General features: G+C 55.6%; 2 annotated features.

Moving 5' to 3' along the window:
- Positions 3,815–4,482: an enhancer, noted in NCBI's record as "H3K4me1 hESC enhancer chr21:46451141-46451808 (GRCh37/hg19 assembly coordinates)". NCBI's record gives its function as "activates a minimal SCP1, AML or CMV promoter by ChIP-STARR-seq in naive H9 embryonic stem cells {active_cell/tissue: H9 hESC(naive)}" and the evidence as "EXISTENCE:reporter gene assay evidence [ECO:0000049][PMID:30033119]".
- Positions 6,795–7,294: an enhancer, noted in NCBI's record as "H3K4me1 hESC enhancer chr21:46448329-46448828 (GRCh37/hg19 assembly coordinates)". NCBI's record gives its function as "activates a minimal SCP1, AML or CMV promoter by ChIP-STARR-seq in primed H9 embryonic stem cells {active_cell/tissue: H9 hESC(primed)}" and the evidence as "EXISTENCE:reporter gene assay evidence [ECO:0000049][PMID:30033119]".

Genomic DNA, 15,142 nt, shown 5'->3' with positions numbered 1-15,142 from the left:
GCTGCTGGGACATGAAGACGCTGAACTCGGAGGCCCAGGGCTGAGGACATCAATCAAAGGGGTAGACGTGTCACTGATAGACGACAGGGTTGGGGGAGTGTAGGACCCGCATGCCACAGCTAAGGTGTTTTAAGAATGTGCAAAACGTATCAGGGCTGAAGGGCTCAGGAGGCCTCCCAGGGAAGAGCTGCCTTGGGTACCAAGGTTGCAATGACCGGGGTGTGGCCCAACAACTCCACCGACCTCACAAGTAGTCCCTGCTGGCCACAGGACACAGGTAAATTCTCCTTCCCACAGCAAGGGCAGCAGCTTGGGGAGGCTTTTCCCTCTGAAATCCAGGAAGATGTCCCACGGCCCCTGTCTCCACGCTTCCCTCCCAGCATGGATGCCCACAGATCCTCCTGTAGCCCAGGCTCGCCCTTGAACTTCAGATGCATGCTCAGCACCCAGGGGCTCTTCCATGGAACAGCAAACCCCTCCAGGTCACCTGCCTGTGGAGGGTGGGGCAGGGCTGCTCCCACGATGAGGATCGTGACCGGGAGGGCCCCTGAGGACCCTGTGGTTGAGTTGACCCCTCCATGCTCTCTTTCCCCTTTCCCAAAGCTCTGCTCTTTGGATGTGGTCCTGGGGTTTCCAGGGGAGACATCAAGGCGGAGGAGGCCTGGCCCTGAGGTAAGAGGAGCAGGGCTGCCCGGCAGCCTGGAGCAGCCACTCAGACGTCCACCTCCTCGGAGCCACTGTGTTGCTGTTGGACTGTTAGAGACACCTTGAGCCCCCCGACCCATATGTCAGGGCTGTCTCCTGTGGGCTTGGGGCTCAGCTGATGCCACCCCGGCCTCCTGTGGCTCAGGCCGGAGTCTGGAGCCCTTCCTGACCCCTATCTTTATCTTGCACCACCTCTAATCCCCAATAAGCCCTCCCACCTCCACCTTCTGCACACCCCAGAACGCACGTCCTCCGCACCGCCTGTCCCTGAGCCACCCTGGGCCAGCCAGGCACCCGCCAGGACCCCTGCGGCCCCTCCCCGATGGTCCCTTCCCTGCCTCCCAGCTACTCAGGCCCTGAGAGTGAGAGGATGTGCGACCGTGACTCCCACCCTGGCAGGACAGAGCAGGACAGGACAGAGCAGGACAGGACAGGACAGGACAGGACAGAGCAGGATAGAGCAGGACAGGACAGAGCAGGATAGAGCAGGACAGCTTGCATCTTCCAATGTGGAGCTGTCACCTTCACTTTTAGGCAAGAGTGTTCCAGGATTGGCCCTCTCAAAAACCCAAATAATATCAAGTGTCACATTCCTGAAGCTAAAAATAAACGTGCAACCCAACATTTCCTAAGACACAAGCGTCTTAGCCAAGAACTTTTGCGGCTGCAAATCCCACTGCAAAGCACTGCTCAGACAAGAAAACAGACACTGCTCCCGAACAGGGCTGTGCATGCCAGGCTCTTGGCCACCCCGATCGCTCGTGCTAAACTTTCTTCTTCCCCGCACCGAGCCCCGCACACCCAGGGCAGTGAGTACTCAGAGGCCCATGGCATCAGCAGAACCAGCATGGTGGGCATGACCCCGTGTCCCCGCCATGCCGGCCAAGGTGCCCTCACACCCTGGGAACACCAATGTCCCTCCCAGTGGCCATGGGCCTCGTGGGTGCTGGAGCCTGCAGGTCTCGTGGCAACAGCCCGAAAATGAAACGGCAACTTTGGTTTCTGGTGGTGAACTCGGGAATTTGAGGAGAAGTTGATAAATCTTCCTGGGACTCAAAATGGAAAAATGTAAAGTGATGAATGCAAAAGGCCAGCCAAGAGACCTGGAAGCCAGGGCCAGGGCCAGGTTAGCGGGGCCACTGAGGGCCACGTGGGAGAGGACGGACAGGGAAGGACAGAAGTCAAAAAGAGAAGCAGGGGGCTTGTCTCTAAGTGACAGAGCATCTCAAGGCTCCAGATCAAAAGGGCTTCTGAGAGCAGAAAAGTTGATAATGAGAGAGAGAAAGACGGAGGGAGAGAGACAGAGATTTTTACTTTAAAGGATTTAAAATAAAGAACAAACCCGAGGAGCATGGAACGGGTGCCAGGAGCTTTATCTGCGAAGAGCAAAGCCCAGCTGCTCCGGCAGACAGGGCCGGCGGACTCGAGGGACGCCTGCAGGGATCTGAGGGGCCACCCAGGGCTCCTGCCCCAAACTCAGAATTGGCCGCTGCACAGACGAGAATAAGTCACTGGAGACAAGCTTCGGAAGCCGGGGGTGCGCGGGCCGGCCCCTCTCTGCAAGCGAGGGTCCACGGCCAGGAGAGAGGGAGGGAACCCGCGTCAGCTCTGCCACTGACGTTCCCCTCATCTGCCCCTGACGTTCCCCTGCATTTATTCAACCTTCTGCCCTGGAGAAATTCTAAGTTCCTATAAATTCAGGCCCCACTTGTTTTGCAACCACTGGCCTTGGTGACAAACAGTCCTGAAAGCTGCCCCGGGGGCAGGGCGCGGCGGCGGTGAAGCGTGTTGGGGGGCGGCCCCCCAGGAGGCAGGGTCCATGGGCTGCGGCTAGCCCATCCTGAAGGGCACCCCTGACTCTGAGCAGGGCCGGGAGGTGTGGCTGCCATCACCACAGGGCTCCCAGGGACTGCCCGGCACACTCAGGGGCACGGGGCTCAAAGAGGAATGGGCGTGGGGGGCCTTGGGGAGGGCAAAGTGCCCCAGACAACCCCTGGAGACTGGGCGGGGGTGGGCGGTGGGGGGCCCCCACACACGAGATTGGTGCCCAGAGCCACCCCCAGTCTCAGTGGGGGCCGTGTCTCGGGTCTTGGGCTCAGACATGGGGGAGACACTGGCCGGCTTGAGCCAGGCACCCGCTCTGTTCTCTGCCTGCAACTGGCCCAGAACCCACGGTGGGAAGGAGCTGAGACATGGGGGAGACACTGGCCGGCTTGAGCCAGGCACCCGCTCTGTTCTCTGCCTGCAACTGGCCCAGAACCCACGGTGGGAAGGAGCTGAGACCTGGTGCACCAGGCCCCAGGCTCCCGGACACATGGGGCCCATGTGCTACCCATGTCCATCACCCTGGGCACCAGGCGTCCTCCTGCACTGCCTTGGTTTGCCAGGACTCGGGGTGTGGAGGGACACACAGTGACACGGTGACTGAGGCTGGCGCTCTGCCCAGGAGACGTGGCGGAACCCCCTCGGCCTGGCCCCACGTGTTCCAAAGGTAGGGGTCCACACCAGCCATCGCGCCGGGCCGTGCGCACAGAAGCCATGTCCTCACCCGCCCGGCCCCGCCCCTGCCTGCCCGGCCCGTTTCCCAGCAGTTTTGTGTGCCTCCTTTCGAGCTGGAGCCCGCCTCCCCAAGACCAGCAGCAAGGGAGGCTCCAGGTGTGATTGGACAGCAGCACCTGGCACCTCGATGTCCTCCAGAGCAATTTCTGTGCGAGGTTGCAGCAGCCTTTGTGCCAGGTTGTGGATTTTTTCACAGTCTTTCCGTTCTTGTTATCAGGCATTCGTGTGTGAGAACCCCCTTCGTGGCCACCTCCGGCTCCGTTGCCAGGGTTCTAGCACAAGTGTCTCCATTTTGGTTCTGACAACTTTCACTCGGGGAAAAGCCAGCCCCCGTCTGTCACTGCAGGGGCCTGGGGCAAGGACAGGCAGTGAGGCGACGTTCCCCCAGAGCTGTGTGCACAGTGGCCGGGTTGCTCCAGCTCCTGGCAGGAGGGAGCCCGTCCTTGGAGCATCTCTCTTCTGCTATAAATACGTATTTGAGTTAGAAAATAAAACGCTTCCAACTGGGCGGCTGACCCTTCTGAGCTCAGAGCAGCCGCGTGGGGGTCCAGGCCTCCCCACCCCCCGCAGCCTGGCCGTGGCCTACTTTCCAAGCCAAAACGAAGTTCTGATGGAAAATGATTAACAAAGGAAGGATTTCTGCTTCTCTACTCCGGCTCCTGCTGGGTGGGGATGGTAATTGTGTGCCCTGTAAACTGTGGGGGAGCTCCGGGCAGGGGCCGATGAGCCCCCGCCCTGGCTGGAGCTGAGGGCACGGGTGGGTCACAGGGCTGGAGCCCTGCCTGCTGGGAAGGGCTCAGGTGCTTCTCTCCCTCCCTCTCTCCGTTCCTTCAGGTTCCACAGAGACCCTGGCCCCCAGCCTCTGACCCCGTCCTCTGAGGCTGTTCGGTTTGAGGTGGGAGAAGCCTGGTCTCATGCACCCCAACCTTCAGAGTCTCAGGCACCAGGAGCCCCAGATTCTTGGGTTCTTGCCCCTGGTGCTCAAGCGAGCTCCTTGCATACTTTAGAGAGTACTGAGGAGCCTGTGTGTCGGGGGCCCGGGCCCCAGAGGTTTAGGGGAACTGCTGTTTTCCTGTCTATCAGAAGTCTGGGGTCAGCCCCTCTTTACTCGGTACGCTCAGCCCCCATCTGGCGTCTCAGATATGTCTGCCTTATAGACAATTTCAAATAAGTTGTCCAATTTTAAATAAATGAGAGTGTTCGTGGCTTCCTTTTGCGTCTTTATGGATTTCCTGTGTTTTCCGCCATGAGTGTGGATTGTGTTCCACTGAAGGAGAAGGCGGTTTCCTGGCCCAGCACAGTCGCCTCCCCTGGGACCTCCCTGCAGGCCAGGCTGCCCCGGTGAGGTCTGCAGTTCCCTGGGAATGGCTTTGCACCCTGAGACCCTCGCAGCTGCCCCTGGTCTGCAGCACCCCGCCCTGCCCCCCCGCCCCTGGAACCCAGGACTTCCTTCTCCTCTCTCCAAACCTTCACGAACAGGAGGGGCTTCCAGGACACAAAGGGCTTTCAGGATCAGCGCGCCTATGCTGGGCATGGTGTGGCTGCACCAGCACCCCTGTGAGACGCTCAGAGACACACGGTCCCTCCAGGCCAGAATCCGATTCTGCATTTTCACAGGACTCAGTGACTCACACTTGCTGGAGCAGGAGAAGCAATGCCCTAAAAAGTTTCGGCAATTCACACATCAAAACTCTAGAGAGTTGTTGGAAGTGGGAAATGAACATTTGGGGAGAGGCTGAGATTTCAGCAAGACCTCTTGGGAACTTGCCCTTTGTAATTCTAAAGCGGCTTTGCTGGCTTCTGAATGTAAACTTGAATCGTGTGAGTTCTGATCCACTCATAACATTACCGTGCTTTATGTACTAAATGAAAGTGCAATTTGTTTGTACACTGATTACAGTTTTACCCGCTGAGTTGGCTCTTAGCTCATTTAAGCTGTTTCAAATGGAGCAGCAGCTGCCAAACCTGCAGAAATCCACCACTGATTAGCTATTGCCAATTGATGAGGAAGACAAAGACCCAGGAGGCCCACCTGCCGTGAGGGAGTTCCCCTGTGAGTCCAGGCCGGGGCTCTGTGGCCCCTGGAACCTCGGACTTCAGACGCCGGCCTGGGCTCCCACAGCGTCTGGTTTTCTCCATCAAAACTGCGCCTGGAGGGGTGAGGTGACCAGATGCAGGGGGTGGGGCAGGCGAGGAGGCGCCTGGCTAAACCCAGGTTGGGAGGAGCCTCTGCACAGCAAAGCCGGGGCTTCAGGACCCTTTGCTGGGACAGGTCCGGGAACCATCTGTGATTAGAGGGGCCCGTTTGGGAGTCGGGGGCCGAGGCCAAAAGGACACCCTGAATGCCACCTTTGTCCAGCAACAAGGTCTCATTAGTTCCATCTTCTGAGCTGTCACGCCGGCACCTTCCGCCTTTCCCGCGCCTCATTAGCCCCGAACAAAACCCACTGGTGGTGGGCTCAGCGGAGGCAGGGAGGCCACGGCCAGCTCTGCTCCACTCACTCAAGAGAGGGAGGAGGAGGCCTTGAGGCAGGGTCACGCTCGGTGACAAGGGGCTGCCTGTAGGCTTGTGCTTGAAGGATGAGAACTGCATCCTCCGTCAGGGACCAGACCCAGCCTGGTCTGAACCCAGCAGGCAGCAGGCAGAAGTGCTGTGCTGATTGGCCGTGGACGCTGGCTTAAGTCACTGACAGCGGAAATCAGCGCAGCCCTGGAGCGTAGCTGAGCACAGCTGCAGAAGAGCAGGGAAGCTCCAGGCTGCACCCTGGAGAAGGCCAGCAGCTTTCTCCCTCCAGATCCTGGGCCTGGCCACCCTGTCGCTGGCCAAAGGGGAGCAGCGCTCTCTGGGGCCCATGGTCAGAGTCCCCAGGCATGGCCAGCTCTAGGGGAAAATGGAAGATGGGAGGTCTCAGAGGCCACTGAGCCCCCTGAGGGAGCTCCAGGCTTGTTGAGCTTCTGTTGCGATTCGGAGGCAGCCAGATACAGCCCTGAGTGAAGCCCCGCTTGCCTCCAGCACCCCAGGACTGTCTCCACCCAGCACAGGCCACAGCCCTGCAGAGGACCCAGCTCAATGGACCCCTCTGGAGTGGGCTGAATGGTGACCCCTCAAGATGTCCACACCGTAACCCTGGAACCTGTCAATGTGGCTTATTTGGAAATAGGGTTTTTGCAGAGGTCATTATGTTAAGGATTTTTTTTTTTTTTTTTGAGACGGAGTTTCACTCTTGTTGCCCAGGCTAGAGTGCAGTGGCGCGATCTCAGCTCACTGCAACCTCTGCCTCCCGGGTTCAAGTGATTCTCCTGCCTCAGCCTCCCGAGTAGCTGGGACTACAGGCACACGCCACCATACCTGGCTAATTTTTGTATTTTTAGTAGAGATAGGGCTTTGCCATGTTGGCCAGGCTGGTCTCATACTCCTGACCTCAGGTGATCCGTCTGCCTCAGCCTCCCACAGTGCTGGGATTACAGGCAGGAGCCACCACGCCAGCCTGTTAAGGATCTTGGGATGAGGGTGCCCTAGATCCAATGACAAGTCTTATGAGAGACTAAGAGGCAGGAATGGGGATAGTGTGGCCACAAGCCAAGGAGCCCCAGGCACCTCCAGAAGCCAGAAGAGGCAGGCGGCCCCTCCACAGGACCCTGTGACCCCCAGACAGACGGTCCCTCCGCAGGACCCTGTGACCCCCAGACAGACGGTCCCTCTGCAGGACGCTGTGACCCCCAGACAGACGGTCACTCCTCAGGACGCTGTGACCCCCAGACAGACGGTCCCTCCGCAGGACGCTGTGACCCCCAGACAGACGGTCACTCCGCAGGACGCTGTGACCCCCAGACAGACGGTCCCTCCTCAGGACCCTGTGACCCCCAGACAGACGGTCCCTCCGCAGGACGCTGTGACCCCCAGACAGACGGTCACTCCGCAGGACGCTGTGACCCCCAGACAGACGGTCACTCCGCAGGACGCTGTGACCCCCAGACAGACGGTCCCTCCGCAGGACGCTGTGACCCCCAGACAGACGGTCACTCCGCAGGACGCTGTGACCCCCAGACAGACGGTCCCTCCTCAGGACCCTGTGACCCCCAGACAGACGGTCCCTCCGCAGGACGCTGTGACCCCCAGACAGACGGTCACTCCGCAGGACGCTGTGACCCCCAGACAGACGGTCACTCCTCAGGACCCTGTGACCCCCAGACGGTCCCTCCGCAGGACGCTGTGACCCCCAGACAGACGGTCCCTCCGCAGGACGCTGTGACCCCCAGACAGACGGTCCCTCCGCAGGACCCTGTGACCCCCAGACAGACGGTCCCTCCTCAGGACCCTGTGACCCCCAGACAGACGGTCCCTCCGCAGGACGCTGTGACCCCCAGACAGACGGTCACTCCTCAGGACCCTATGGCCCCCAGGGGCTTCTGGGGCCCAGGGGGAGCAGGGCCTTGCTTGGGGGTTCACATTCTGCACAGAGGGGATGCAACCGGCTGCCTAGGGAGACAGGGTCAGGACCCAGAGCTGAGTGTAGGCTGGGGAGCACCCAGGAGTACAGGGGGCTCTGGCCCACCCAGCTCAACTCTTCCCCTCTCCTCAGGGGGCAAGGACCCTCCACAAAGATGAGGTGAGGTGTTGACACAGTATTAGGGGCACATATCTTAATGGATAGGTATCCCAGGTAAGTTCCTAGAATAGGGATTTTTTTATCTACAAGCAAATCTTAACCCCTGGGCGTTTCAGCAAAGGCCCTGCCTGAGCCCCTCTCCTCATCCACATGCCCTCCTGGGTGTGGGGTACCTGTCGTTGGCGGTGCTCAGGGGATTCCGGTGTACATGCCTGGGGAGGCCCCAGGTCCCGAAAGCCAGGGCCACACTGCCTGGGGATCTTGTGGCCCCTGTGGACTCAGGGCCCATGTGTGCAGGGAGGAGGCACTCTCCCCACGTGCTCCATTGCCAGGGCTGATCCCTCGGCCCGAGACCCTGCTTGGTGGGGAGGCCCCAGCTCAGTACTCCTGCCCCTGTGTCTGTGTGACCCTCTGTCCGTCCTGAGAGTCTCTGCACATCTGGTCTGGTTTGACTTTAACCTGAATGCCCAGCCTCCCTGCTGTGTCCACAGCCCTTTCCAGAAGGACCCGCTCTCTCGGCACCCAGCCCGGAGCACCTCCTCACTGCCTGGTCCCTGCCTTGTGACAGGACGAGTTCACCACCCCTCCCCCAGCTGCAGGACAGACGTTAGATGCAGTGGCTTGGGGGGTCTGCTGGATGAAACCTCACGTTTCCTCCAAGAGCTGCCTATTTATTGTGCAGGCCCCATCCATGGCAAAACATCCTCCAGTCCTCTGGCCACTCCCTCCTTACAAATGAGCTTGAGGAGAAATCTGCAAGGTCACGGCCTCCTGGCTCCACCATCACAGAGACCCTGCCTGGGCTGGACCTGTGGTGGGGTCAGAGGATTCTTCTACCGAAACTCGAAGAAAGCCAAGGCCCGGCGTGGCCGCCAGATGGCCACCCCGTCCCCACTCCCTCTGGAAGACGCTGTCAGCTCTTCCATCTCTCTGAGACTGTCTGAAAGGCGTTCAGTGAAATACAGGTGCCTCCCATGGGCACGTCTCACGCTGTCCTCTCCCCTGCAGGAATGACCATATCCACTCCAGAGGCCCTGATGACCTGTGCGCTGTCACCCAGCCACAGCGCAGGCCAGACTCCAGTGCCATGTCCCCTGCGCAATGTCTGTTTCTTTCTGCAGCAAGTGTAGCCCCAACATCCTCATGGCTTAAATGTAGAGCCAGTGCCTCACTGTGGCCCAGCGGTCCCTGTGCCCAGCAGGGAAAACCTTCCAGGGCGCACGAAGCCCATAACAGGAGCTGTGCGGCCTCAACTCCCCTCAAGACCTAGAGCTTGGCCCTCCCAAAGGCGGCTGCCTGGACCCAGTGGAGCCTGTGCAGCCGGTGTCCAGGCTATGACGGCACCTTCGGGACTTTGGGGCTGCACAGTCAGGTTTCTCCTGAGTCCTTGAGCTAAAAATATCCCTGCTGAAATTTATAACAAAATCCAACTGTGCTCTGCACATTTTCTAGAAGCCCTCCCCGCCAATACACAGCTCCGCAAGGCAAAACCGCTGCTCCAGCATCTCTCCCAGTGACGCTGGGGCACAACGTCACTCGGTGTCCTACAACCCGGCCAGTGCTCATGCACCCCTCACGTTGCTCCAGGTGCCATCAACGAACAAGGCTGTCCCCAGCCTCCTGAACTAGCCTCCGAGGGGCTGGAGGCCTGCGCAGGCCATGGATGGTGGCAGACAATGGCGGCCCAGCACAGCTCCCCGCAGGGAGAGAGGACCTCAGGTCTTGGCTTGGCCACCAGTCTGCCCACTGCCTGGGCTTTTCCTTCAGTTCCGTGTGTTTGTCTCCAGGCTGAGCTAATGGTCCCCCGTCCCATCCTCCGTTTGTTAAGGACTTGGGCCATCCAGAAACGATGGATTCTAACTCCAACAATACAATTATACTCTGGCTAGTGGGATGGAAGTAAAAGTGGTCTAGGCCTCACTAGTAATGTCCTAACAGGGAGAAGGAGGTATACCTCCTTTTCATTTACCTCTCTACGGTTGGCTGGAAGACAAGCATGATGGCTGGCACATGGGCGGCCATCCTAGACTAGGAGTTAGCAACCACATATTGAGGACGACTGCACAGCAGGATAAGAGGGTGGAGCCCCTGATCCCAGCCCTGGTGTGTTGACATTCTATCTAGAAATGGACACTCTATCTTTTTAAGCCCCTTTCATTTCTTTTTCTTGTCTTTCCTGTGACCCTTTCCTAGGCCTTGTACAGTGTGGACTAGAATGATGACAGTGGGCACCCTGCCTTGCTCCTGATCTTAAGGGGAATGCTTCTAATGGGGAAAAGAGTCCCTATTTAACAAATGGTGCTGGGAGAACTGGCTAGCCATATGCAGAAAATTGAAACTGGATCCTTTCCTTACACCATATACAAAAATTAACTTGAGATGGATTAAAGACTTACATGTAAAACCCAAAACTATAAAAACCCTAGAAGAAAATCTAGGCGATGCCATTCAGGACATAGGCACAGGCAAAGATTTCATGATGAAAATGCCAAAAGCAATGGCAACAAAAGAAAAAAATTGACAAATGGGATCTAACTAAAGAGCTTCTGCACAACAAAAGACACTATCATCAGAGTGAAAAGACAACTTACAGAAGGGGAGAAAATTTTTGCAATCTATCCATCTGACAAATGTCTAATATCCAGAGTCTAAAAGGAACTTATACAAATTTATGAGAAAAAACAAAACAATCCCATTAAAAAGTGGGCAAAGGACATGAAGAGATGCTTCTCAAAAGAAGACATACATGCGGGGCCAACAAACACACACAAAAAAAGCTCAACATCACTGATCATTAGAGAAATCAAAACCACAACGAGATACCATCTGACACCAGTCAGAATGGCTATTACTAAAAAGTCAAAAAACAACAGATGCTGATGAGGTTGTGGAGAAATAGGAACGCTTTTACACTGTTGGTGGGGTGTAAATTAGTTCAACCATTGTGGAAGACAGTGTGGCGATTCCTTGAAGACCTACAGGCAGAAGCACCAATTGACCCAGCACTATTCACAATAGCAAAGACATGGAATCAACTTGAATGCTCATCCATGATAGACTGGATAAGGAAAACGTCATCCATATACACCATGGAATACTATGCAGCCATAAAAAGGAAAGAGATCATGTCCTTTGCAGGCACATGGATGGAGCTGGAAGCCATTATCCTCAGCAAGCTAATGCAGGAACAGAAAACCAAACACCACATGTTCTCATTTATATGTGGGAGCTGAATGATGAGAACACATGGACACATCGGGGGAACAACACACATGGGGTCCTGTTGGTGGCGGGATGAGGGGAGAGAGAGCATCAGGAAGAATAGCTAACACATGCTGGGCTTAATACCTAGGTGATGGATTGATAGGTGCAGTAAACCACCATGGCACACATTTGCCTATGTAACAAACCTGTACATCCTGCAAATGTACCCAGAACTTAAAATAAAAGTTGAAGAAAAAGAAAGTAATCAAATGAGAATTAAAAAGGGGGAATGCTTCCAAGACTTCACCACTAAGATATGACATATGATTCAGATTTTATTTTATTTATTTATTTATTTGTTGAGACGGAGTCTTGCTCTGTTGCCCAGGCTGGAGTGCAGTGGTACAATCTCGGCTCACTGCAACCTCTGCCTCCCAGGTTCAAGCAATTCTCCTGCCTCAGCCTCCCAAGTAGCTAGGACTACAGGTGTGCGCCACCACGCCTGGCTAATTTTTTTGTATTTTTAGTAGAGACGGGGTTTCTGCATGTTGGCCAGGCTGGTCTCAAACTCCCGACCTCAGGTGATCTGCTCACCTTGGCCTGCCAAAGTGTGGGGATTACAGGCATGAGCCACTGCACCCAGCTGTCTGTTTTATACCGTATAGTCATCTCACCTTCTCTTTTCCTTTTTTCTCTCCTTTCTTGCTTTCTTTGAATAAATCACACTTCCCTCATTCCTTCCCCTGAATGAGTGTGAAAGTTATGTGTCCTGCCCTTCCTGTCTTCTTGGTCATTTCACTGCCTACTGACCCTTCCAGTCTAAAGTCAGTCTCCCCTGCTCCATGCACGCTTGTGTGTTGTATTTTGTTTTATCTTTATTGTCTTAGCCCCATTAGACAGTCCATGTGTTGTTTCATATTGTCTGCTTTATAGGGTTTAGCTGTACATATTTGCCACTTTCTTTTCTATGAACCATGTGCTCTTCACATTGTCCATGTTTTTGTTTCTCTGTGTTGGATTAGAGATTATTTCTTCAGATTAATCTTCCATTTCACTAGCTTTTTCTTTAACTATATCTAACAGCAGTTAAATCTATCCATTGAGGGTTTTTTAAAGTGTTACTATGACTGAATTTTTTTTCAATTTCGTCTATTTTTAATCCACTTAGTTTTCATTTCTTTTATTTTTTATTTATGTATTTTGAGACAGGTTCTCGCTCTGTCACCTGGGCTGGAGTGCATTGGTGTCATCTCAGCTCACTGCCGCCTCAACCTCCTGGGCTCAAGCAATCCTCCCACCTCAGCCTCCTGAGTAGCTGGGACTACAGGTGTGCACCACCGTGCCAGCTAATGTTTGTATCTTTGTAGAGATGGGGTTTCGCCATGTTGGCCAGGCTGGTCTTGAACTCCTGGCCGTAAGTGATTCTCCTACCTCAGTCTCCCAAAGTGCTGGGATTATAGTCGTGAGCCATCATGCCTGACCTATTTAGTTTTCATTTCTAGAAATTCTATTTGGCCTTTTTCAATTTGGCTTTATCATATTTTTATATCACACACTCTATATTCATTATTTTAAATCCCTTTTTTACTTACTTAAGCACATCTGAGTTATATCCTCTGCCCTGGAAATCCCACAGCTGCAGGATCTGTGAGCCACGCTCTGCTGCCTGTGTGCTTCCAGCTCGCCATGTGCCTTGAGTCCTGGTGTGCTTTGTGAGTTTCCGCGATGGGTCCACATGTGTGCGGCAATGCCTTGAGGTGTGGGTTGACCTGGTTTCTCCCACAGAGAACTTGTGTTTGCTGCAATCCTGACCAGTCTCAAACCAACTCACATTAAATCCTGGGCTTTGGACCCCCAGGTTGTGTGACTTTTGGGGGCTGACCTCATGAGTGCCAGCTTGTGGTCACAAATCTTTAGGGAGAGGGTTTCTCCTCCACTCCGTGCCCAAATCAGGGATAGTGCCCAGGGGTGGGGGCCAGAGAATGCTGTTCTAGCCCAGCCTCTTGTGGTTCTTTATGTGGACAGGGTCTCCCTCCAGACTGCCCTTCTTCAGTCCGCCCTGAGCTGTGCCGTCTTCCACCCGGGCCTCCAGGCCAAGCTCAAGTTCACGTTTGTAATCCAATAAATGCCCTCGCAGGCCCAGCCAGCCCAGAGCTCCCCTCAGCCCTCCAGGTTCCTGCCCACGCGCCAGCTACAGCTTCTGAGTTCATTTCTCACCTGCCAGCTCACTCGTGTGTCTGAGAAAACACTGTGTGTGTTTTGTGTTTCACTCAGCACTTTCTGCTTCCAGTGGGAGTGATGGGAAGGGAACCAAGTTCCCTGATCTGCCATAAATAGAAGTCCTCTGTGTGTGTGTAAGACCCCTGGTGCTGGGAGGGCTCCCCACTGGGACCTGGGGTGTGGTAGGTGGAGGCAGGAAAAGGCCTCTGCCCCCTTACACATGGCCTTCTGCCCCCTTACATGGGGTGCGGGGGCTCTGGTGAAATCAACGATGCCCCATCCCGAGGCCCCGGGAGAAACGCTCTGCACGATGGCTACATGACATAAACGAAAAAGCGTCTTGTCACGGGGTGGGTGCACAGTGTGAGGCCGGCTTTTCTTTATAAATGTACGAACTACAATTGTCTCTTAGTGAGTGCTGTGCTGGCCCTTCTATCATTGTCCCCACCTCACAGCGTTTGGGTGGCCTGGCCCCAGGGCTCTGACAGGCTCCACCGGTCGCTGCAAGGATCCCACTGGACAGGACGGACACTCGCCTGGCCTTGGCCTCTCTGTTCCCGCGGCAACCCAGTGCTGAGGAATGATGACCTTGTGTCATCGGCCAAGACAACTAGATCAAAGGGCAGGCCACGTGCACCCTGCTGGGGCCATGGTTCTCTGAGCGGGGACTGGAGTGAGCAGGGGTCTCTTGCACACCTGTCCTGCTCATGGGTTAGTGATCCTGGTAGGGCCACCCTACCTGAGAGATCGGAAAAGCACAGTCTCAACGTGCAGTCAGATGATCAGCACAGCAGGACACGCGATGATAAAAATAAAATTATTTCTGCACACTCAGCGCTTACTGTTTATGGAGAGCTTTTGCCACATTAGCATCCTTATTCGGCGTCGTACTGTTCTGTGGAGAGGATTCTCGTCCTGCTCACTTTACAGGCTCCCTGCCAGCCTCACTTGTGGTCCCACCAGCCCCAGGGCCGTGGCCCCTCCGCCAGGCGATCCCAGTGGAGAGAGGGCCTCTGGCCTCTTATTTACCCTGAAGTCCCAGGGAGGAGAATCAGACCCAAGAGGGCAGCATGTCCGGGCTGTCCTGGGCCTAGCTGGCCACGTGTCCGTCCAGCCCACGTTCTCAGTGCCCTGTGTGTCCGAGATCACTGGACCTCAGCTGGTGCAGGGAGTTGGCTGTGGCTTTGTGTTTTTCGGCCACCTTCCTGCTACTCCCAGGGGAGTATGGCCAGGATCACGGGGGACTGGGAGATTCCTGGACTGGCTGGACAGTCTGGGGAGGGGCTGTGAGGCACAGGGACACGGGTTCCCGCTGGCACTGGCCTCCCGATGTTCCCTCGGCCTGGCCCTCTTCCCCCGTTGCTGATAGAGCCATCCCTGGCCCTGGCCCTTGCCCTGCATTGAGTATCTTATACACACCTGAATCTCTTTGCACGATTATCCAATTAGTTCCTTGGGGTAAATCATCACAGTGAAATTGCTGAGATGCAGAAACGCATGTTTCTGATGACCTCAGTTCATATTGCCCAAAAGACTTCCCGAAGGGTCGTGGGAGGGTCAGGCGCGGACATCCTGTGCTGCTGGCCTCGCCACGCCTGGCTTTCTTACCACGCCACTGAAGGTCGTCAGTCTGGAGGGTGAAATACGATCTCCCCTTAGAATTTGTCTCTCTTAGATTCCTAAACATTTTTCATGTCGTTGTTGGCTATTCGTGTTTCTCTTTTTGTGGACGTTTTGCCCATCTTGGTTTGGTTTCTTCAGAACTAGATCTCAAGTCCAGGATTTGAGTGTAAGTCATCTATCTGGGAGGTGGTCCCAGGACCCGCCGGAAAGAGAAGGCAGGC

Source organism: Homo sapiens, chromosome 21 (assembly GCF_000001405.40).
Source record: "Homo sapiens chromosome 21, GRCh38.p14 Primary Assembly".
NCBI classification, from domain to species: Eukaryota; Metazoa; Chordata; class Mammalia; order Primates; family Hominidae; genus Homo; species Homo sapiens.
This window is presented reverse-complemented; position numbering and strand designations above follow the sequence as displayed.